The 23,343-nt window shown below is 37.8% G+C and overlaps 1 protein-coding gene across 23 annotated transcripts in view; it reads right to left on the bottom strand.

Moving 5' to 3' along the window:
* Positions 1-23,343, bottom strand: part of PKHD1 (PKHD1 ciliary IPT domain containing fibrocystin/polyductin) — a 472,317-nt gene that overhangs the window by 334,580 nt on the left and 114,394 nt on the right. For 21 of the 23 annotated variants that reach the window (XR_001743469.2, XM_017010944.3, XM_017010945.3 and 18 more), the window contains one exon: positions 9,992-10,148. The exons of 1 other annotated variant lie outside the window; for it this stretch is intronic. Coding sequence is in view for 20 of the 22 variants with exons in the window: in XM_017010944.3 (XP_016866433.1) it covers positions 9,992-10,148 (157 nt within the window). In the remaining 2 variants the exon portion in view is untranslated. Of the gene's footprint in view, positions 1-2,549; positions 8,642-9,991; positions 10,149-23,343 lie in introns of those variants that run through there. One more of the 23 variants, XM_011514691.4, reaches the window with a different exon arrangement.

The raw sequence follows: 23,343 nt of genomic DNA on the forward strand, positions 1-23,343 counted from the left end.
GAGGCTGCTGCTGCTGCTGTTTTTCCCATTTTTCAAAATTTCAATTAAAATAGATATCAGAAGAAATTTTCCCCTTTAGCTGATACTGCTTATGCATCTCCCTGTTCTTCCTTTAATTAAAAAACATGCTTATTGCAATACTTGCCAGAATCACTTTAACGGTATTTTAATTGTAATGTCTCTGCCTGATTAAAAAAAGAAAATATGAACTAGAAAGTGTTTGCAAAAATGTTCACAGGATGCAGGACAAGAATCAGACACCTCCCCAGAATGGATGCCACATACTAATTCCTTAATTAGCCTGGTACTGCAGTCAAATGGGCAATATAGAGAAAAAAAAAAATATATATATATATATATATGAAATAAAATCACTGACTCAGAGCTGCAAACAATAGCAGTTGGGAGAAACCATTTTCATCAACTCAGATTTCCCTGGCGGGGTAGGGACCTGTGCATCCAACTAAAAATGCTGTGCTCAAGATAAGCCCATTCAATGTGGCCAGCCAAGTTTCCACTGTTCTTTGCTAAAGGTCTCATAGCCTTTGGGAAATGAGTAGTTGGGCCAGGCTAATTGGCTTCTGGTCCTCACAATTCCATAGGGCTCCTTTTATTGTTTTAGGCTAGTAGTTCTCAAACTTGAACCTGCATCAGAATCACTTGGATGTCTTAAAACACAGACTACTGGGCCTCATTCCCAGAGTAGGTTTACTGTAGAGCTCCCAAATTTACAGTTTGTATAAGTTACCAGGTGATGCCAGTGCTGCTGACTGGGGGCTACACTTTGAGAATCACTACTATCAGTAAATTAAGTGATTGTTCTAGGTGTCCGTAGGCTGGTGATGTTTGGCATCATCTGAAACAGGCTGAGAAAATACAAGCCTGGAATTATAGAATAATTCCCTTAGTCACTCAACCAACATTTACCACTAGTTTCCAGCTCCTCTGCTAGGTACCGAAATAAAAATGTAAAATAGAGTCTCCAGTTTCTGAAGGTCACGGTGAAGTTGAATTGCTCCTCCGGGTGAATGGAAATGTGTTGGTTTTAGTGAATTGTCCCACTTTAGAGATGACTATAAGAGAATATAAAGACTGTGACTCAGCTCTTTACTTTTTCTACAAAATATGAAACTCATTAAGGTAACCTTATAACTGTATTAACTCTGTACTAATTACAGAGTGTAAACATATCTGTGGAAGGCAAACTACACAGAAATATTTAAAGGAACTCAAACACTAAGATATAAGTAAATGCCTTTGTTATTATAGCTACTGTTATCAATTACTACCTAACTAAACTTTGATTTCCTTTCTACATCTAGAAAACCATGACTTATTTTATCAACAAAGCTTCTAGCATTTAAGTGCTCAAGGCCTTCAGCTGTTCCATGGCTTTCTAAAAAGTCACTTAAAATCTCAAGAAGAAAGCTATTTCTAAGGAGAAATAGAAAAGACAAAAAAAAAATCGTCTTTTTCCCGAGGTCTGTACCAAGCATGTAAAAATCCCCCTAGCTACTAAGTTCATTCAGATAATCTTCCTCTTTCTCTTTATCAAAGTTCAGTTAGCACTGACCCAATCTCATTTTTGACCAGCCTGCAATTTGATACACCTCTCTAAGCAACTTGTTTTTTCAAAAGGTTCCAAATATAATTATTCTCTGAATATTATAAAAATGATTTGGTATAGCATAATAGTATTGGAAATAAAAGCAAACAATACTTTTCTTATAGTATTTATTAATTTTAAAAATGAGAATACAGTACTTCCTACCTTTACCTGACCCCAGGAATATTGTATAGAAACTATAATAATGAAATGCTCAGTCCCCAACATATTTTTATCTACACAAGAATCCCAAATACAAAAGTACTTCAGATTTCTAGCTCCACTTCCAGTCCAGGATGAATAGGATATAGGGATCATTAATGAACAAATGAGATGGAGAGGTAAAGACAGACCAAGTCCTGCATGACCCTATAAGCCATATTAAGTTTGGACTTGAACTTACAGGCTAATGGAAAGCCAATGAAAGGTTTTAAGTAAGGAAGCTTGAAACATTTATCTTTCATTACTGAAAATATTATAGCTTCTCTGCTAGGAAGGGACTGGTCCCTTTCAGTAGCATTTTTCATGTTACAATATCCAAGTTGTCAAGACATAAAACTGTAAATTGTTTAATATCTATCTATCTGTCTGTCTGCCCATCTATTGAAAGCATGTCCTTTCTCATAGCAATGGCTTATCTTTCATTTAAGGCTAATCAAGTGTGTCTGGGACTGTTCTCTGGAGGTAAATAATGTAAGTCATTGTCTGATTGGAAAAATAAGGGGTCTCAGAGCCAAGTGTCCCCCACATTAAAAAGCCTTTGTCTCTGATCTCCTGATACACAAATAGTAAATAAAATTGGTCACTGTCTGGACTAATCCACTAACATTTGAGGGTACCAGGAAGGACTCTGATTATAGAGAAATTCTCAACAAACATGAATCTGCCTCTTCAGGTCTGAAACTCATTTATTAGCTTATTCATTCAGCCATTATTTGAGTACCTGTTTCGTGCCTGGAGATAAAATGGTGCTGGCAACACAAAGGTGAGCAAAAACAGAGCTGGCCCCTCCTTTCTTCAGCTTACAGCCTAGACCTTTATAAGCCTCCAAAATGGTAGAGGGAAGAAAAAATACACCTTGATATTCTATTTGTAAATAATTAATATAAAAATAATTCAAGTTTTTAACCAATTAAAAATTCTACCTGTGATACACTTAGCTTTGAATATCAGCAAAGTTCCCCTCCCATGAAATAAGTAACACCTACTTGTCACCAAGAAAAGCCCAGCACATGAAGACACCCAAGAGTTAAGAGTGAACTTCAAAAAAACTCGGGCTAGTTCTGATGCTAACTTCTTCATCAGGCCTCCCTTCTGGATAATGGCACAGACCAGCCCCTTAGGGTACCATGCCTGCCAAATATAGGAAGAAAATTTACTCATTCCTATACTGCTCTTCCTCCACAGAGTTGCACACACACAAACAACATTAACATCCAGTAGAGGTTTATACAAGACATTTTCTCCCTACACAGGGAAGGGAATCACCATTATTTCCATTTTGTGCATTGATTTGAGGACCAGAGCCTTACCCAAAACCATAAAAGAGTCTGTGACTGACTCAAATTTGAAGTCAGGCTCCAGTTTGCTGACCAAACTGCAATGAATCAACCTTGTTGTATTGTCTGCACATAAGCATCCTATCTTCTGGCTTGAAGGGTAGCTACGTTTTGACTACAAAAGAGGGCAATTCAGTCCATCTTCTTTTACAGCCAACTTGCAGATAAATTATTTTGAATTTACCAATTTGCAACAATGTTTCCAGCCCACAAAACCCTCTCCTGTTGACCAAGATATTCTACAGTTAGAGAAAAAAAACAAATTATTGTTGAATATCATATTTTTATCAAAATTACTGCCTTCCTTCAGATTTTGTTTTATCCTAACTGGTAGCTATGAAGTCTTGAAACTATAGGCAGAGGGTAAAATGCCAAGTGACTCACACAGGCCTGATGCACAAAGAGATCACAAGCAACATCTCAGGAAAGTTCTGTGTTGTAACATTTCTAGATAACTGCATTGGAAAGCATTATCTGAAGCATGCATCTACTGAATCTGAGGCTGGCTTAGTGCTAACTAGAAGCAACCAAGTATACAATCCCTGGGATTAAAAAAAAAAAAGGCTGTGATAGGTTCATCATTTAATACCTCACTCTGAAATCCTCAAATGCTTGTCAAGGATGAAGGAATTCTACAATGAACCTGACAGTGAGTCAGAAGAAGATGCTTCATTTCAATAAACCAAGAATATGCATTTCCATGACATAGAAACCCCAGATGTAATGGACTTAAAAAGATCTGAATGTCCTCAAAACTGTGAACTAAAAAACAGTTGAGAGAAAATGAGATCATGTTCCAAGCTACACCAGAAAAACATGTTTCTGTGAAGTCAAAGTAACAAGGAGAATGCCGGCAAGCAAATGGATCCACTTCTCCATCCGTCCCTCCCTCGCAATAGAAGGAAAAACACTTCAATATGCATTCTGAAGATAACAGAAGCAAAAGCAATCCAAGGTCTTTATTACCCAGCTAATTCTTTCAGTAATCCAGTTTGCTTTGTATATAGAAGCAGCCACTATCTGTAAATAAAATTGTAACTTAAGCCTGATATTCAGCCATATCTCCTGTTATCTCTGACAGTCCAAAAGTAACAAAAACTAGCATTAATTGAGTTCTTACTCTGGACCAGGCTGTGTGCTAATGGCTTTACAAATATCCCCTCATTTAATACTGAAAACATCCATACGAGACAGGCAATACATTGTGATATTGCCATGCAACAATGATAAATGCTAGCTCTCATTGTTACTATTATTGTCATTATAACCAGGTATCACCTTAATGAGGAAAAACCTGAGACTTACAGAAGGTCTGCAACTTGCCCAAGGTCACAGAGCTGGGAAGTAGTGGAGCCCAGATTCAGGCTCAGTTCTTTGTGGCTAGAAATACTGCCAAGCATTTAACTGCTTTAGTATAAGCCAGTAGACCAAAAAATAGAAAATCACATTAAAGGAAACCAGTGCACTATTAAGCAGCAACAGAGACTGGAAACAAGTTTCTGCTCAGACACAAGCACTGGCATTGTGAGTAGTAAGAAACTACAAACTGTCTTCCTTTTTTATTGTATATATTTAAGGCAAACAACAGGATGTTTTCATGTGTGTATGTGTGTGGATAAATATGTATTATATATAATGCAGTAATTACTATAGTCAAACAAATTAGCATATCAATCACTTCACAGTTACCTTCTTTTGTGTTGTGTGTGTGTGATAGGAGTACCTACACCTAACAGCTCAACACCAAGGAGAGAGTTCATTCTCCCCTAATTGACCCTTTCATTAATCATTATCGTTACACTACTTCACATCAAGCTGCTTGATGACCAGATCAGAAAGAGATTCATTGCTTCATTCAGGAAATATGAATGTTTCCCCAACTACAGACCACAACCCAAGATCCTTGCCCGGGATGCAGAATGCTCTGACAAGAGGGTAACGTTCCTTCTTTGTGATTATGGCTCATCATAATTACTTGGAATAAAAATAATAAATTTTAATTCAGCAATGCCTATGGCCATTGGGCATCTTAACATAAAAGAATGAAAATATAATTAACTAAATCAAGGCAATATGCCTATTTCCATCCCAGCTCATTAGTATTAATTGATTGGGTTAATTCTCTTTTGTGTTTAACGGTGCCCCTAAAAAATATTTTTTTTTTAAAAAAGGGAGGGAGGGCAGGAAGGAGGGAAGAAGTAGAGATAGTAAGTAGACAAAAGTTCTGGATCTTTTTCTAATTAAAATAAAATAATAAATGCAGCTGAAGCTCTTATCACAGTCACAAAAGAATCTGCTACTTTTTAAGTTGGGAGTCAGTACATATAGCATCATAAATAATGACACAAAACATTGGGGCCACTTCTCAATTGCCCCCCAAAAATTTATGACCCTGCCTTCTACTATATAAGTAATATGTGTAAGAAAAAAATGTCAATTCTATTTTATAGATGAAAATATGAGTAAGGCACAGAGAGTTCAAGACTCTTGAGGGTCCATAAAGTGTTGGTTTTCCTGTTGTACGAGCCCAGTTTTCTACATATCAGGATGCTGGCTTCCATGAATGGAAAAATAATATAAAGGATGTAATACCTTCATAAAGTATTTCCAAATGTAGTTCTTAGGTGATCTAGTTTCACTGTTACTTAGCAGTAATCCTTTCAAAATATATATACTTCATGTAGAATGTATTCTTTGTAATATAGAAATGGCTGAGAAAGTACTTCCATTATAATACTTCATATTTTGTCGGTTAAAATCTTTTGAAGAAATTATTTTTGGCTTGAAATTTCTCAGGCTTTATCTAAGCCTGCAGATGGTATCAGAAAAAGTAAAGAAAATTTCACTCAGCTATTTTTCTGACACTGTGAATGTATATGAAAAAGATAGTAACTAATATTTGGAGGGTGAGTTACTGTTGTTGTTGTTGATGATGATTGTGATTATTCAATCTTATATTTGAAGAGCTCTTTATTATCTTTCAAGTACTTTCACACATATTATAGACCAAGGGAAGACATTAAAAGAGGTTTACAGCTATGTTACATTGATCAGATATTTGAAAGTTGTAGTTCTTCACCAGTGAAGACTTTGGTCATATGCCTTTTAGAAACAGAAATATAACTTACCAACAGATTTTATATTCCTAACAATTCATCATAATATGCAAATATATATAGACATATGTGTGTATGTACATATTTTGCGTGTGTAAATATGTATATGTGAATATGTAAGTGTATATGTGTGTACTTATACATACGTGTGTGTGTGTGTGTGTGTGTGTGTAATCAGTGAGAACAACTAAGGACAGTGAAAGTAAATTAGCTGGGAAAAGTGGTATTTAAGAGAGCAAGGGTTTAAAATATACACTTCTTAAATTTCACCCAGGACCATTTACTTGTCCATTCTTTCTACAATCAACATAAAATTTTTGAGCCTTCGTCATGCATCAGGCACTGTTCTAGACCCTGAAGAGACAACAGTAAATAAATTGATGAAATCCTTTGTCTTTTTTGAGCTTATTCTAGTAGAGGAGACAGACTATAAACAAGCAAGTAAATTGATAATATACCATGTGATGATAAGTACTATGAAGAAAAGTAAAGCAACATCAAAGGATAAAGAGTCCTGGGGGGTGGCTGTAATTTTAGAAATGATGGCCAGCAAGTCCTCCCAGATTAGTTGATATTTTCTCAAAGAGCAAATGAAATAGGTGAGCCAGCCACATGAATGTGGAAGAAGAGCATTCCAGGCCATAGACATTACAGGCAAAGGTCCTGAGGCAGGTATATTCATAGAAGAGCTAGAGCAGAGTGAATGAGAAAGACAAGGTCAACAAGGGGATCAGAGGTTAAATAATAGTAAGGACCAGTGATTTGATTCCCAGTGAGTTGAGATTCCACTGGAGGTTTTGAGGAGAGATTTGACTTAAATTTTTAAAGGAAATGGACCATAAACTGCTGGGGGTTTACTTTACCATATAGCATAAAAGCCAAATATCCATTACTTAAACCCATGAAGCCTTATTTTCCTGTCACAAAAAGTTATTTCAGAGGTGGGTGGTTGAATGCCTTATCATGGCAACTCCAGAGTCATCAGGGTCCTGGGTTTGTCCTATTCTTCCGCTTTTCCATTCTAACTAACAAGTAGCATCATGGTCCAAAATAGTGGCCGAAAATGTTGCTATTACATTTATATACCAGCAAGTAGGAAAGAGAAAGAAGGAAGGGAAAATAGGGTGTAGTTCCTACTGGGTCATCTCTACTTTTGGAAATTTCTCAGATGTTCTGCAGGGTACTTCTTCTATCTCATGGTAAGCCCTTAGCCACATGGCTATGTCTAGCTACAAAAGTGTTCAGGAAACAGAGCATTTCAGCTGAGTACTTTGTTGCCACCAATGAAATTAGGGTTTTACTACTAATGAAAACAAGGAATCTGAAATATGGGAACAAAATAAGAGGCAATTTAAGATGGTCTAGGCCAAAAATGTGGTGGTTAAGACTAGGTTAGTACCAATGAAGTGTTGCTACATGGGACACATGTTGAAGATCCAGCCGACGGGGTTCACTGATGGGGTGGTCATAGGAGGTGAAAGAAAGAAGTCATGGATGCCTCCATGGTTTTTGGTCTGAGCCACTGGATGTATACAATTCCAGTAAGTGAGATGGAGAATTTCCTCAAACTTTGATTTGTGTATATGTTAATATCTATGTGATCGCAATATGTCTCAGACACAAATGATCTGCCCTTCACCTCCTCTCCGCTCTCCAACTCTAATCTTACACAACTGACACCAAGATTACCCCAGTATACATTCGGCCTCACTGCCAGCATCACTTATTTTAGAACCAGAAGTTTTAGTCTTTTACATTTACTTTCTAATTATTTTTCTTTGGTAATATTACATGTTACTGCCAGTATTATTCTTCATTTTTTCTTGTATTTCACACAGGAATCCTAGGCCACTCAATAAGCATTCACAAATTATCTGTTGAACAAAATTTGATCTGTGTCCTTGCCCTGTTCTCATTCTTTCTAGAAGTTATGACCTATATCTCTATGATAAAAACCTCAGCGTTTCACTCTAGGTAGCTCTGTCTTTTGCCAACAACTCCTGTATCTTATTCGTGCAGAAACTGGAATCTACTACTTAGCCTTACATCCTACCTACTCCTCCTCCCCAAGAGAAAGAAGAGACCCTTCAGATGACTTACTCTCCCTCTCCACAGGATGAGGGTTTGCCTTTCCAAACCTAACTCACTTATCTAAATAATATGAGAGTGAAATATTACCTAAACCAGAAATGCTAAGAAAAACCACTATTGGAGGTTGGGGCAAGTATTGGGATTGCTCAGATATTTAAATCCTTAAGAGTGAGAAGTCAAATGAATGTTATACTTATCCTGCCTTTCTCCTACACTTTTCTCTCCTTCTGATGCCTCTTCTCTGTTTTCAGCCTCTGGTGCTGTCAACACTATTCATGATTTACCTGGAAGTAACAGTACATCCAGAGATTTAGTAATCCAAGACTTTCAGCTGGGAAACTTCTCCCAAATGGTAGTAGCAATATAAGGCCAAGACCTTTGAATGCCTGAAGGGGAGCCCATACTCCTGCAGAATTTGATTCATATGGAGAAAGCCCTGGTTAAAGGCCTGCCAAGAGTATCTTTTCTCTGAAATGAGGCTTTAGGTCTGTAATTTTCCTTTGTCATTGCTGGTCCTTAGGTAGTTGATGACTGTCTATAGTGGCATTCCCATAGCCACTAGCTACACACACACACACACACACACACAAACACACACACACAAAGACAGGGCAAGAGCCCAAGCTGACAGACCATTTTATCCCCTAAAGGGCACTAATTAACTGATTTGACTGAAAACTTCTCCTTGCTATAGAAGAGAAAAAAAACAGCTTCCAGAATAGAGAATGACAAAATGCCTAAATCCTGATTCGGTCTAAAAGAGACAGGTATTAAAATTCCATTAGTTTATCCTCTTTAAAATATTTTATTTTTCCCCTCATGTAGCTATATTCTTATCTTAATAAGGATGAATGTTTGTGTGTTAAATATATTTATAGTAAAGAACAGTGTTTTAGTGCAGAGTTTCATAGAGATCCATAACTAATCATATCTCCCATGTAATTTTCATTTGCCAATGAACAGAGGCATTTTGATAACTATTCCTTATTTCCAGCCACTAAAGTAGGCCATGATTTTTATTCTCATTTAGCAGATAAGGAAAGAAATGCACAAAGAGGTGAAATAACTGACTTAGCCATTTGAAGATGTGGTAGTAGGGTTGAAATTCGAAATCTCAGCCTCTTCCAACTTCATAAACCCTAGAGCTATATAGCCGGTTTTGCAATAAGAAAGCCTATTTATATGACTTTCCATGGGACCAAGAAGTCAAAACCACAACAGGGTAAAAGCAGGAAGACATGGCTTTCTTGGCAGGGTATTTCAAAGGCAGCAACGTTAACCAATTTCAGGGCATTTTGCTATATTGTGGGGGCTGTCCTGGATAAGCATGACTAAAAAGTGCTTGAATAAAGAAGCATATTCTTTGAGAACACTGTTAACCTTCTTGTTTTTGAAAAATTAAACTAATCAAGCTCTGTGCTTATAATGAGTCCAAAGAAAGGCCTTTCACTTTGAACCCTCTGACCACTTCTTCCTTTACATAGTAAAATTTCAGTTTGGTCTGAGGATAAATTGTCAACTAAGTTCTGGAACTTATCCAGAAAGTTTCCCTCCTCCATCCCCCCTACAAGTGATATAATCATATAGAATAATATTACCAACCTACAAACTTCACACACCTTTAATGTGCAGTAAGTTGAGGATGCTTGTGTTAGTGTCCAGCAGAAGCAATTGGCCATTCTCCACTGTGACGTTGTCGCCATCTTGTGGCAGCCTTTCAGGAAACCAGCTGTGAGTCCTGGACCATCTCCGGCAGAACTGTAAAGAAAAGTTGCCCTGGAAAACAGAGAGCTGGGTTGGTGGGTTGGTTGGTTGGTTGGCTGGTCTGTTGCTTCGTTGGTTGGTTCGCTGGTTTGTTGGTTTGTTGGTTCATTCATTGTTTTTGGGCGGGATAGTATAAGTATTGAATCAAAATAGAAACTTCTCAAAGAAAGTAAAATTAATTTAAATATTTTAAATGTCTCCATAAAATTGGTTACCTCTCTCTTTTTCATACAACTAACCTAAACAGGAAAAAACATGAGAGGCAAAATTATATTTGAAGTTCTTCTGTGCCCAGCCCCTGGAATTCTCCAATAACATGCTGGTAATGTTTTCTTGCCTTTTTTTTCCCCTCTAGCACAGGCCCCATTCTACCTAACAGATGAGTTTGATTCCATTTATTTTTACAGATATGTATTGAATCTTGGACAAAAAGTCATAAATAGCCTGGAATAGGGAGAATTAAAATGTTCTGCTTGATGGGTGGCATTTTGCTTTATGTAATTGGTATCATTTTTCACTGGCTCTACTGCCAAGAGTCCCTGTTTTATAGGAACATTCCTCTTCCTAAGTGCTCAGATCTATCCTCCCACTCGGCCTTTTTTGATATTATTGTTGCCTTTCCCCCTGTGCCTGGTGCATCAGGGCTGAACAAAGCCCATGCAGGCATAGGCAGAATGCCGACTGACTTCAGATGACAAGTAAATAGTCTGGAACATTTGAGTGAGGGGTAGGGAGCTGTACTGACAGAAGAAGCCAGAAAAGGAAGCACTCCCTCTCCACCCCAGCCTTCAGTCCCTCTCTCAGAACTTTTGGCTTTCCTGTTAATTTGTGGTCACTCTGATGTCATACGTTTTTTAAAACAGGGACATAAAAATCACAGAAAGCAATATTGAGCTCATGCAAGAGGCTGGTAACATGTCTAAATGCCTTGTGAAGTTGTAGAAGTATAATTACGATAAACATAATAAAATCACAATAGAGAAGGTGATTCCTTCAAGGTAATAGATATGACATGTATAAGCCACTCTCTCCAGTCTTCTTCCCATTCAGATTCCAACAAATGTGAAGCCCAAGTTCCTATAAAAATAAACCACCTAGAAGGTCCTCTCATGATGTGTTAGAGGCAGATGGGAGAAGATCATTAGAAGGGAAGGCATGTTTGTAATACCGACAACTACACCTACACAGAGAATAGTGCTCTATAGTATTTCTGAGATAGAAAATGGAAAATTGTGTTGCCAGAAGAGCCGTTACGTTTTCCAGAAAAAGATACAAACCCCAAGGTCAACAGTGCTAAGTTGCAGACCCAACACAATCACTGAGAAGGCTTTGCAATTTATTCGTTTTCTACATCTGCAAAGAAGTAAAAGTCTATGACTCATCACAATTTAAGAGATGGAAGGAAATAAGGCATAGTGATAACCAGTTCCAGTATCACAGAAAAAAGAATAGGTGATCCAGGAGCATCGTTGTGAACTGCAGTATCTGTAGGCTACAAAAGTAGGAGAGAATTTTAACTCTAGATGATTTCACTATAGGACTAGCTTTAGGTTGGTAAAATAATAAACAGTACTTCTTATAAGGCTATATATATTATACATTCTTATAACCCTTTAATTTACTCCTGTAGAATACAGAAAGAGGAAAGGGAGGCAAATCAAAGGAAACTGGAATGAAAGAAGGTGGGAAAAACAGAGATGGTAAAGTAAACTGCAGAACAGGGTGAACCAGGTTATCTGTAGTGTCAGCTGCGAGTCCATGATAAAAGGACATTTGAAAACTCTTGGATTTCCAGAAGCCCAGAGATGGAAAGGACTCTAGCAAAATCCTATCCCATAATTTTACAGATGCTATTTTAGGCAGTGTTCCTTAGAGCTTAATAAAATGTAGATTTCTCTAGTGTCATCATATACCTGTGAAATCAAAAGCTCAAGAATTGGGACCCAGAGACCTACAATTTTAATGATCCTCTCAGATGACACTTCTGCATCAAAATTTAAGGATCAATTCAGAGCAAGGGCTGGAGGAGAAGGAGATATATCTTTAAAAGGAACCAAGATGTTTTCTCCAAACCAACATCCAAAGCTTAGGGTCTTTGGCCAGGATCGCCCAAAGACTAGCAAGCTAGGAAGAATGATGTGTTGATGAACTGTAAGAAATATGAAGACTTCAGCAGCATAACGCTTTCTGAGACATTAACCTGGTGGTCAGATCCATAACCCAGCCACAGAACTATGAAGAAAACCAGGGCTCATTACACACACAGTAAAATGATCGGGAACAACTAGACATTAGTTAGATATTTAAGTGGGTCAAAGGTAGACTATTTCATGGTGTTATCCATTAATTAATTTGAGAACATTTTTAAATTTTTATGATTAGCACAGATATCTGTTATCTAGCTCTCAATAAGCTTTAGAGACTTTCTTGCTCTGAAGCACTTGCTTATGCCATTTGCTGCCTTCCATGTGCTATAACCTCTTGGCCTAGCCTGTCAGCCTTCAAAGATTGCTATACTTGGTCCCAACCCAGTAGGTGGAAAGGTCAAATACTGTTATCTCTACTTTCCAGTGGAGAAAGCAAAGGCTCAAAGTGTTTAAATGATGTGTCAAAGTTCATAGTGATGGAGGCAAACTGGAGTCACAAAAAGGAAGCTCCCATCTGAAGTTTTTCCCTTACCATGGCCTCTCCCGGGATGCTCTTTCCCAAAAGATCTGCATGGCTCACTCCCTTACTTAATTCATGCCTCTGCTCAGGTATCACCTCCTTACCTGTATTATTATTTTTAAAAAGCACCCCCAATCATTCCTTCATTCCTTCTCCCCTAATAATGCCTCATTCTAGTATTAAATAATACAATTCCTTGCATATTTGGTTATCACTTACTAAGCTTACTCAAATGAAGCAGAGACTTGGTTTGGGTCATTGCTATATTCCCACCTCCCTAAAAGATGTCTAGCACATAGTAGTTGCTCAATAAATGTTTTTGAATAATTTATTAAATGAATCTTATACCTGCTGGTGCCATACATGCTTTTACAGATATCACACACAAACACACACACATCTCTTCCTAATGCAATAGGTGAAGATACAGGTGCTAAGACCTTAAAAATGCTATATCCCCTAGGTCTTCTGAAACATTTACATCCCTTTTCGTGTTTTCAAGCTCCATTTAAACATAAACCAAATGATGAATAGTGCTACTTAATTGGAACCTGAGACTCAGATTCGATCTCATAAAATCTTCCACCAATTTTTTCTTTCACCTTAAGTTTCTCTAGTCAATGTGGCCAATTTCAAATGAATACAGATGTTTAAGCATTCAGTTTCAAGAGACCTAAGTTTCCTTGTGCCCTGAATTCCCCTTAGCATAACAAAGATATCTTGAGATGTATAAATGTTTATTGATGTACTCATGCTTTTACACAAAATAATTACTAAATACTAAAAAATCTAAAAATTACTGCAGCATCCACTGCTTACCAGCTACCTGGGGAAATAGAAGAGCAGCATATCTCTATGATTGCAAGTTATCAGTGTAATCCATGATTACATGCACGTTGCCATAAGAATTTTAGCTCTCCTACATTTTCAGTTAACAGAGCTGGTGCTATCATTCCCTCCCAGGGAAATGCTCCATGAAACAGTGAGGATGGCTCACCTTCCAACATCTTCATCCTCCAATCCATGTCACTTTGATCCAATCAAGAAAAAAAAAATGCCAACAGCATTGATTAAAGATTTTGTGAATATATTTGAGAATGTCTCTGTTGATACCAACATATTTTTGGTGAAGGCCATGTTCCGTGTCAACAGCCCAGCTTACTTCCACCTAATATAAGCTCTTTCCTCTATAGTTCCCATGATGCTCAGCCTTTAGCTTTAGTGTTCTTCCTGGAGATAAACACATCACTCATTCTTATTCTGCAGATGAAGAAAATCAATTCCTCATAGGCATATGGGGGCAGCCGTGAAAATAGAGATACAAGAATTGCCCAGAACGTGACCTCATCTTTGCATCTAGCCCCAAATAAACCCCAAAAAAAGCAGAAAAAAACTTTCCTGCCTCAGCTAGGAAGCTTATGCAATTTGTTTTCTTCTTACAGCATGTCAGCACTTCTCTGAACTTCAGGGAATGTGCAGTGTCTGCAAATCTTACATGTCACCTTAAATGTACTTGCAACACCACCAGAGTTATCTTGAAAGAAGTCATTGATCAGCAAGTTGGAACACCCGGCAAAGCAAAGACCTATTTGTGAGTGTATGCATTGAGCTGGGGTGGCAGAGGAGGTGGCGTATGGGAATCTCTGTAATCACAGTGTCTCCTGGCTGACAAGAACAAGAAATAACTGTTCTGACACCTCACCAAAATGTCTTCTTCCTCAGCATCCAAATCCTGGAAATAGGAAAAGACAAGTCCCTGTAACCATTTTCTCCACTCCGTATCCTTCTTTATTTTCTCCAAAGCACTCATCTCTACCTAATACAATGTATACTGGTTTATAATCAGTCAACCCCTAATAGAATGTAAGCTTCACAAGAGTGTCTTGCTTTTCTGCTGTATCCCTAGAACCTACAATAATGCCTGGCATCTATTGGCTACCCCAAAAATATGTTTGAATGAATAAATGGTCAACTCTTATTTGGACTTATGATGCCATAATGAAAAATCTTTAATAACTGAAATAATATGATATGAAGCTATAATTTAATTTTGTTCAGTTCTTCTTTACATTGAAATGTTTTAATTTTTACGAAACCAACTTTATTTACCTTTTTTGTGACATTCTTCATTATGTTATAGATGAAACATCCTCTTTCACCCTGACATAAATAACACTTATATGTCCTTCTTGATTGGTGGGTTTTATATCTGCATGTTACTCCTCAACTAACTTACAATTTATGTTGATGGAAAGTTTTATACTTTTTTCTTGTTTTTATTCCTTGCTATTTTTCCCCCAAATAGCTAACTGATTGTCTTCATACCATTCATTAAATAACATTTATTCTCCCAATTAATACTCTTGGCTATTTTAACAGTTGAATTATAATGTTCAATGACATTAAACCTTTTGGCCAATTAAAATCCCAAATCCTTTTGTATGAGCTAATATAAAGGCGTTTCTCCCAAATAAATGTGACCTCATCCTTGTTCTTAAGGTACTTATATTATCATTTAGAAAAATACAAATAGCCAGATAATTAAAGTGTGATTGATTCAATAATTAAAGGCATAACCAAGATGCTATGGGAGTTCAGAGGATTAGATGGCTGACCACAGTGGAGATGGCCTTGCAGGGGAAATCAAGTGCATTAAACATCGTTTTCTCTTTTTAATCTGGACACAACAGATGACACAGGCTGAGATTATTTCAGCTGATTATAAAACAAAAGATAGTGTAGAAAAGTCAACTATCTACAAATCCAGGATTATGAATAGAGCCCCTAACCTATAATCTAATAACTCTTTAGGGACCAAAAAGGAAATTGAATTAGTTTGGTATAATTTATTCTTACTGACCTCATGCAGGCTCTAAGTGATCACTTTCTTTTCTCGGTGGTTATAAACCCCTCATGATTACAAGATAACATGAGAATGTCCTTCCACACTGCACTGTGTAGCACATTGACTACTCAAAGAAATGTCAACAGTACTTTTTGTCAGAGATTCCTGCCCAGTTCAAATTGACCCTTTCTCATCATTAGAAAACCAGGCAATTCATTGTCTTATCTCTTGGTTCCACACACTTCCTATCCTCTGCGATTTCTCAAAGGTTGCTGACTCTACCTCAGTGCTTCATATATCTAAGTTATTAGCCCTCTTAAGCTTCAGAGGATTTTCAAAGTCTGCAGACAGGACAAATTTACAGTCTTCTTTTATCGTTTCCTCTATTTGAATCTTCAAATCTCCTCTAATAGTATCTCTTCTGAATTTTAAGTCCAAAGACCTTTTCACTTGTGGGAGAAAAAATGATAATGATAGCTACTGATTACTTAATATTTCTAATGTCCCAAGCACAATGCTATACATTTTACTTACAGTATCACTAATCCTTATGTAAACCCTGAATATCTGAGACAGGTCTCAGTTAATTTAGAAAGTTTATTTTGCCAAGGTTGAGGATGCATGCCCATGACACAGCCTCAGCAGGTCCTGATGACATGTGCCCAAGGTGGTTGGGACACAGCTTGGTTTTATACATTTTAGGGAGACATGAGACATCAATCAATATATGTAAGATGTACCTTGGTTCCATCCAGGACAACTTGAAGCAGGGAGGGGGACTTCCAGGTCACAGGTAGATGAGAGACAAATGATTACATTCTTTTAAGTTTCTGATTAGCTTTTACAAAGGAGGCAATCAGATCTGCATCTATCTCTGTGAGCAAAGGGATAATTTTGACTAGAACGGAAGGCAGGTTTGCCCTAAGCAGTTCCCAGCTTGACTTTTCCCTTTAGCTTAGTGATTTGGGAGGCCCCAAGATTTATTTTCCTTTCATACTCACAACTAAAAAATGTAGGTATTACTCTTTCCACTTAAAGTTTAATTAATAATAATGGCCAACACTTACGGGGTGCACTTAACAGGTATTATCTCATTTTGTTACAGACTCTTTTCAGACTACTTTCCAGGAACTACAGAGTAGATGGATCCCTGCCTTCAACAAATGTTTATTGAGCACCCACTACACACCAGGCACAAAACAAATTCCTGACCTCATGGAGCTTATATTTTAGGGAGATAACAGGTTAAATATATAAAACTAATAGTGTGCTCTGAAGTAAAAAAGAAACAGGGTGAAGTGGATCAGAAGTGCCAGGGTAGGAAGAGCTATTTGATATGGAGTGATCAGAGACTGCTCTGATTGGATTGGATTGGATTGGATTGGATTGGATTGGATTGGATTGGGAAAGGAGCAGAGAAGTAGAGTATGAGCCAGAGGCTATCAAAGGAGGACCTTGAAAAAAGGGTGTGCTTGGAGTACTGCAGCTGCAGCCTGAAGGATCAGGCGGCTGGCCCTGGAGGAAGGAACGCTGTATAGCCAGATGGCCTTTCTAGTGATGCAATGAGAAACACTGCACAAAGACCTGGGTAGACATCAAGTTCTTCATATGTCATAGAAAAAAAAAATCAAGGAAAACACTCAGTAACATATAACGAGGTCAGCAAACTACAGTCCACAACCCACTATTTTGATATTGGCACACGGCATGACAATTCATTTACATATTGTTTGTGGCTGCTTTCAGTTTGTGACAGAAGCAACATGGCCCACAAAGCCTGAAATATTTACTATCTGGCTCTTTATAGGAAAAGTTTGGGGACCCCGGTAAATTCTGTTTCATACTATACTATCAGTATAGTACCTATAATATGCTCAGTATAGTGTATCTATAGTACATCAGTATTAAAACATGCGCAAAATGGAACTTTCTGTAATTGAAAATAGGTAATTATAATACAGCTACCTGAGACTTGAGGGACTGCAAACAAAAACATCTTAGTGAAGGATATACATTAAAGTACTGGAAACTGATTCAATTCTTCCCATTTTTTAGTACACAATAAGCCAGATCTCAGAAAGCCACAGAAAGGCAAGTGGAAGTGTGGGAAGTTGTGTGTGTGTGTGTATGTGTGTGTGTGTGTGTGTGTGTATGCCACTCACGCACTCACGTGCATGCACATGAATACACACACACACACACACAGAGCCAGATCAGAAGATTGACAGATACATGCTAGCCTTTTTCACAAGCTAACACACTGCCATTTAACCAGCGAGCATGGAGCACGTGTTTGTGTTCCCAGTCACTATTAAGAGACAAGGTTAACATTTTAAGTGATGGACTACAACATGTTATTTCCCCATGCAATGGACCCATGACGGCACTGCCTTCGAAAACACTTAATTTCGGTGATTGAATACACAGGAGCGTACTTTCCCTGCTATGAACGTTTGACAGCTCCGCAGTTTCATACACCAGGAAACCTTTTTTTTCCTCCTTTGCTTTTTTCCTGTCTTTACACCTGAAGGGAAGCAAAATGGATATGTGGTGGCAGAGGAAAAAGGAAGAAGCCCAGAGAATGAAAACCAGCTTATGAGCTTCAGTGTATTTTAAAATAAAAGTATTCACTGCCATCTGCTCTAATTACTTCTAATGTTTGGGCTACCATCTTCATACAATAGAAATAATGATCTCCTCAAGGGCAAAAAAAAATTTTTTTACAGAAACAAACAAAAGTTGATTACATTTAGCTCCCAGGCTAAAGAAGCATCAAGCTACTTTGTAGTGAACAATCAATTAGGAGAATGGGTAGGCCTCCGATTAACACTAACAAATTAGGTCCTTTTGGTGGTTCCCTCCCTTTTCTTCTTTTCCTGCCTCTTTAGAGGAGCTGTGCTCACAGCTCACTGAGGGCAAAGAGCTGACTAGGCATATTTCTGGATCTAGGGTTATTCCACACAAATTCCTTACATTTTGATCAGAACCAGATAAGGCCAAGTCTTCTCCCTGTCTTCTTGTTGACATCAGACATGTCCCAGCTTTAATACTGAATATAGGGCTGGGTATTCTACCAAGACTTCGGATTACTTCATGGAGTGAACTGCTTAGGGGCCACCCCAGACTTGAACTCCTCTAAGGAAGCTAAAGCCCACTTAGCCTCAGTAAAGTCTCCAGGAACAGACATGATCCAGGCCAGGTCCATTCCTTAGACTTAAGTGAAACACATGGAGCCCAGAAAAACATGGAACAGACTTCTACAATGCCAGCAGGAGAAACGTTGCTTTCACAAAGGCTGAGTCTAGTGACCTTCTCAAATCCTCAAATTCAAACATATTACTTGTATGAAGCAGAATTCTGAGATGTCCTAGGATTCTGAACCCCTGGTGTACACACCCTGTGTAGTCCTCTCCCCTTCAGCAGAAGTAGAGCCTGTGAATATGATGGGCTATCACTCCCATGATTAGGTTATGTTATATGGTAATGATGATAGAATTATGCAGATATAATTAAAGTGAGAGATCAGCTGACTTTGAGTTATTCAAAAGGGAGATGGCCTCTACCTAATCAGGTGAGTCCTTAAGAGAGAGATTCTCCCACTGGCCTTGAAGGAGCAACCTGCCATGTGGCTTGGAGGAGACCATGTGGCTAGAACCCAAGAACAGCCTTTAATTGCTGAAAGTGGTCACAGCCAACAGCCAGCAAGAAAATGAAGACCTAAATCCTATATTCACAATGAATTGACTTTCACTGACAACCTGAATGAACTTGGAGGTAGACCTTGAATTCCAGATGAGAATGTAGCCATGCTGACACTTTGATTTCAGCCTTGAGAGACCTTGAGCAGAGAACCCATCTACTCTGTGCCCAGACTTTTTAAAAAATTTTTTTAATAGATTTAGAGGGTACAAGTGCAGTTTTGTTACATGGATAGATTGCATAGTGGTAAAGTCCGGGCTTTTAGTGTAACCAACATCTGAAGAGTGAACATTGTGCCCATTAAGTAATTTCTTGTCCCACCTTCTTTCCACCCTCCCACCCTTCTAAGCCTCCAGTGTCTATTATTCCACTATATCCATGTGTACACATTATTTAGCTCCCACTTATAAGTGAGAACATATGGAATTTGACTTTCTGAGTTACTTCACTTAAGATAATGGTTCCATACAGGTTACTGCAAAAGCCATGATTTCACTCTTTTTTATTGCTGAGTAGAATTCCAATGTATGTGTGTATATATATGTGTACACACACACACACACATATATATATAAATACATACACACCATATTTTCTTTATCCAATCATTTGTCATTGGAAACTTAGGTTGATTCCATATCTTTGCTATTGTGAACAGGGTTGAGATAATCACCTGAATGAAGGTATCTTTTTGATATAATAATTTCTTTTCCTTTGGGTAGATACCCAGTAGTGGGATTGCTAGATCAAATGGTACTTCTATTTTTAGTTCTTTGAGAAATCACCATACTGTTTTCCATAATGGTTCTACTAATTTACATTCCCACCAACAGTGTATAAATGCTCCCCTTTCTCAGCATCCTCACCAATATCTGCTGTAGTTTGACTTTTTAATAAGAGCCATTCTGACTAATATAACTCGGTATCCCACTGTGGTTTTAATTTTCATTTCTCTGATGATTACTAATGTTGAGCATTTTTTCACATGCTTATCTGCCATTTCTGTGTCTTCCTCTAAAAATGTCTGTTTGTGTCCTTTGCCTACTTTTTAATAGGGTTGTTCTGGTGTTTTGTTTGTTTGTTTTTATTGAGTTGTTTGAGCTCCTTGCAGATACTGGATATTAGTCCTTTGTTGTATCTGTAGTTTGCAAATATTTTCTACTGTTCTGCAGGTTATCTGTTCATTATGTTGATTACTTATTTTGCTGTGCAGAAGGTTTTTAGTTTTACTAGGTCCCACTTGCTTATTTTTGGTTTTGTTGCATTTGTTTTTGAGGTCTTGGTCATAAATACTTTGCCTAGGCCAATATCCAAAAAAGTTTTTCCTAGGTTTTCTTCTAGGACTTTTATACTGTCGGGTGTTACATTTAAGTCTTCAATCCATCTTGAGTTAATTTTTGTATAAGGTTAAAGATAGAGGTCCAGTTTCATGTGCCTGCATATGGCAGTCCAATTTCCCCCGCACACTTATCGAGTAGGGTGACTTTTCCCCACTGTATGTTTTTGTTGGCTTTGTCAAAGATTAGTTGGTTGTAGACATGTGACTTTATTTCTGGGTTGTCCATTATATTCTATTGATCTATGTGTCTATTTTAATACCAGTACCATGCTGTTTTGGTGACCATAGCCTTGCAGTATAATTCGAAGTCAGGTATTATGATACCTCCAGCTTTGTTCTTTTTGCTTAGGATTGCTTTGGCTAGTTGGGCAGTTTTTTGGTCCCATATGAATTTTAGGATGGTTCTTCTAACTCTGCAAAAAATGATGTTGACATTTTGATAGTAATTCCATAGAATCTGTAGATTGCTTTCAATCCGTGAGCATGAGATGTTTTTTCCATTTGTTTGTGTCATCCACAATTTCTTTCATCAATGTTTTGTAGTTTTCCTTGCAGAGATCTTTCACCTCCTTGGTTAAATATATTCGTAAGTATTTTATTTGGTTTTGCATGTGCCCAGACTTCTGATCTACGGGACCATAGATAATAAATCGGCATTGTTTTAGGCCACTAAGATGGTGGTCATTTGTTATGCAGCAACAGAAAATTAATATGCCACTATAAGGACCTTCTTGAGAGAACAGTTTTCACAGAGACCATGTTTAGATTTTTCCCTCTTTATTAAAGTTACTGCTCAAAAGCATAAATAACAGCAAGAAAGGTGGGATGCCAGTGCCAGGCAGAAGGACAGGTTATTCGCTCACTGCATAAACTCTCCTCACACAGGACATGCAACATGGAATTTTTCAATTTATGATGCCAAAAAATGTAAAGTAAGACCTGATGCAGACCTTTCTTTTGCTCAGGAAGAATTATGACTACCAAAGATATACAGTAAATACCACAAGGACTTCTATGTAGTCACCAATACTTACTATCTAGGCTGAAGAAATGAAAACTTTCTGATCCTGAACATGGCCAGGATATGTGTGCTTAGGGGGATAACGAAGTTTTTTGTTTGTTTTTTGGGTTGGTTTTTTTTGCTTTTTGTTTTGTTTTGTTTTGTTTTGTTTTGTTTTGTTTTTTGAGACAGGGTTTTACTCTGCACCCAGGCTGGAATGAAGTGGTGCAGTCTCAAATCACTGCAGACTCGACCTCCTGGGATCAAGCAATCCTCCCACCCCAGCCTCCTGAGTAGCTGGGACTACAGGCATGCACCACCACACCCAGCTAATTTTTGTATATTTCTGTAGAGACAAGGTTTTGCCATGTTTCCCTGGCTGGTCCCAAGCTCCTGAGCTCAAGCAATCCGTCCAGCTCGGCCTCCCAAAGTGCTGGGATTACAGGTGTGAGCCAACCACACCCAGGCCAACATGAAGAATTTTTAAAGGCCCGTATTCTGACTCTATGTCTGAGAATGATATTTGACTATGATTGGTATTAAAAATTCTACTCTTCCACTAGCATTGCTTCCTGAGAAAAGAGGATTTTCTTTTTTTTATTTCTCATTTTAAAAAAAGAAAGATAAGGCAACAAGTTTCAGGGAAAAACCAAGCTCAGGAACAAGAAAAACTCATTCTGTACCTATATCTTCACTAGCCTTGACTAAATAACTTTTTCCTAGTTCTTTAAGCTTCACGTTTGAGGTACTTTTTAGAGAGAAAAAGAAATTCATTTGTTTATCCTCAAAGCAGCATCATGTGTTCTTAAGCTTTCTGCATGTATTGCCTGGTATTTGATAATGTGCAAGGTTATTTGTGTTAATGCTAATACCACAAAATTATCAATTGTACCTGAAGAATGAGGAAACCCAGGAAGATGTTTCAGAGGTGGGGATGAAATCTCAATAACCTAGAATTTGAGAAACTTGCCTATGCAATCTGATGCAGATGCTTTCCTTGTACGTGCAGATTTTGTAGAATAAAACCATCACCCTCATCTTTGTGAACATTTACTGGGTGCTCACTCTGAGCCAGGAACTGTGGGACCTAGCCTTGTCTGCATGAAGGCATAATTGAATTTCTAAGCTCTTAGAGCCCAGTTTCAAATGCATTGTTCCCTTTAGCCCAAACACATCCGCCACACATTGTCCCTTTTCTGCCAAACCCTGTTTATTGGTTCCAAATGCAATGAATCATTTACTGACTTGAGCAACATTAGAGGTAAACACCAAGGTTAAAACGTAGAGATAATTGAATAACACACCAACTACCAGTAACAGCAGTCCAGGCAAAAGAGGAAATAGATCCAGAGATTTCAGAAAGGGCAATCTGATAGGAACCCTCCATGTCAGGATCAAAACCGCATGCCACTTTGACATGACAGAAAAAACATCTGCATTTTATTTTTTTCAAAATTGTATGTGCCAGTTATTAATATGGGAAGAAGCAGAAAGCAAGCAGGTGGTAACATAACTTAAATACCCCAGTGATTAAAAATAAACCATCCAAAAATCAACTATCATGTATTTAGTATACCAAAACAGTGGTGTAAAGCTGGGTTTTTTAAAAAATATATGTGTCTGATTTATTGCTTTCACTGTTGATGAAGAAGATTAA

The sequence above is a fragment of the Homo sapiens genome, chromosome 6 (assembly GCF_000001405.40).
Source record: "Homo sapiens chromosome 6, GRCh38.p14 Primary Assembly".
Classification (NCBI taxonomy): domain Eukaryota; kingdom Metazoa; phylum Chordata; class Mammalia; order Primates; family Hominidae; genus Homo; species Homo sapiens.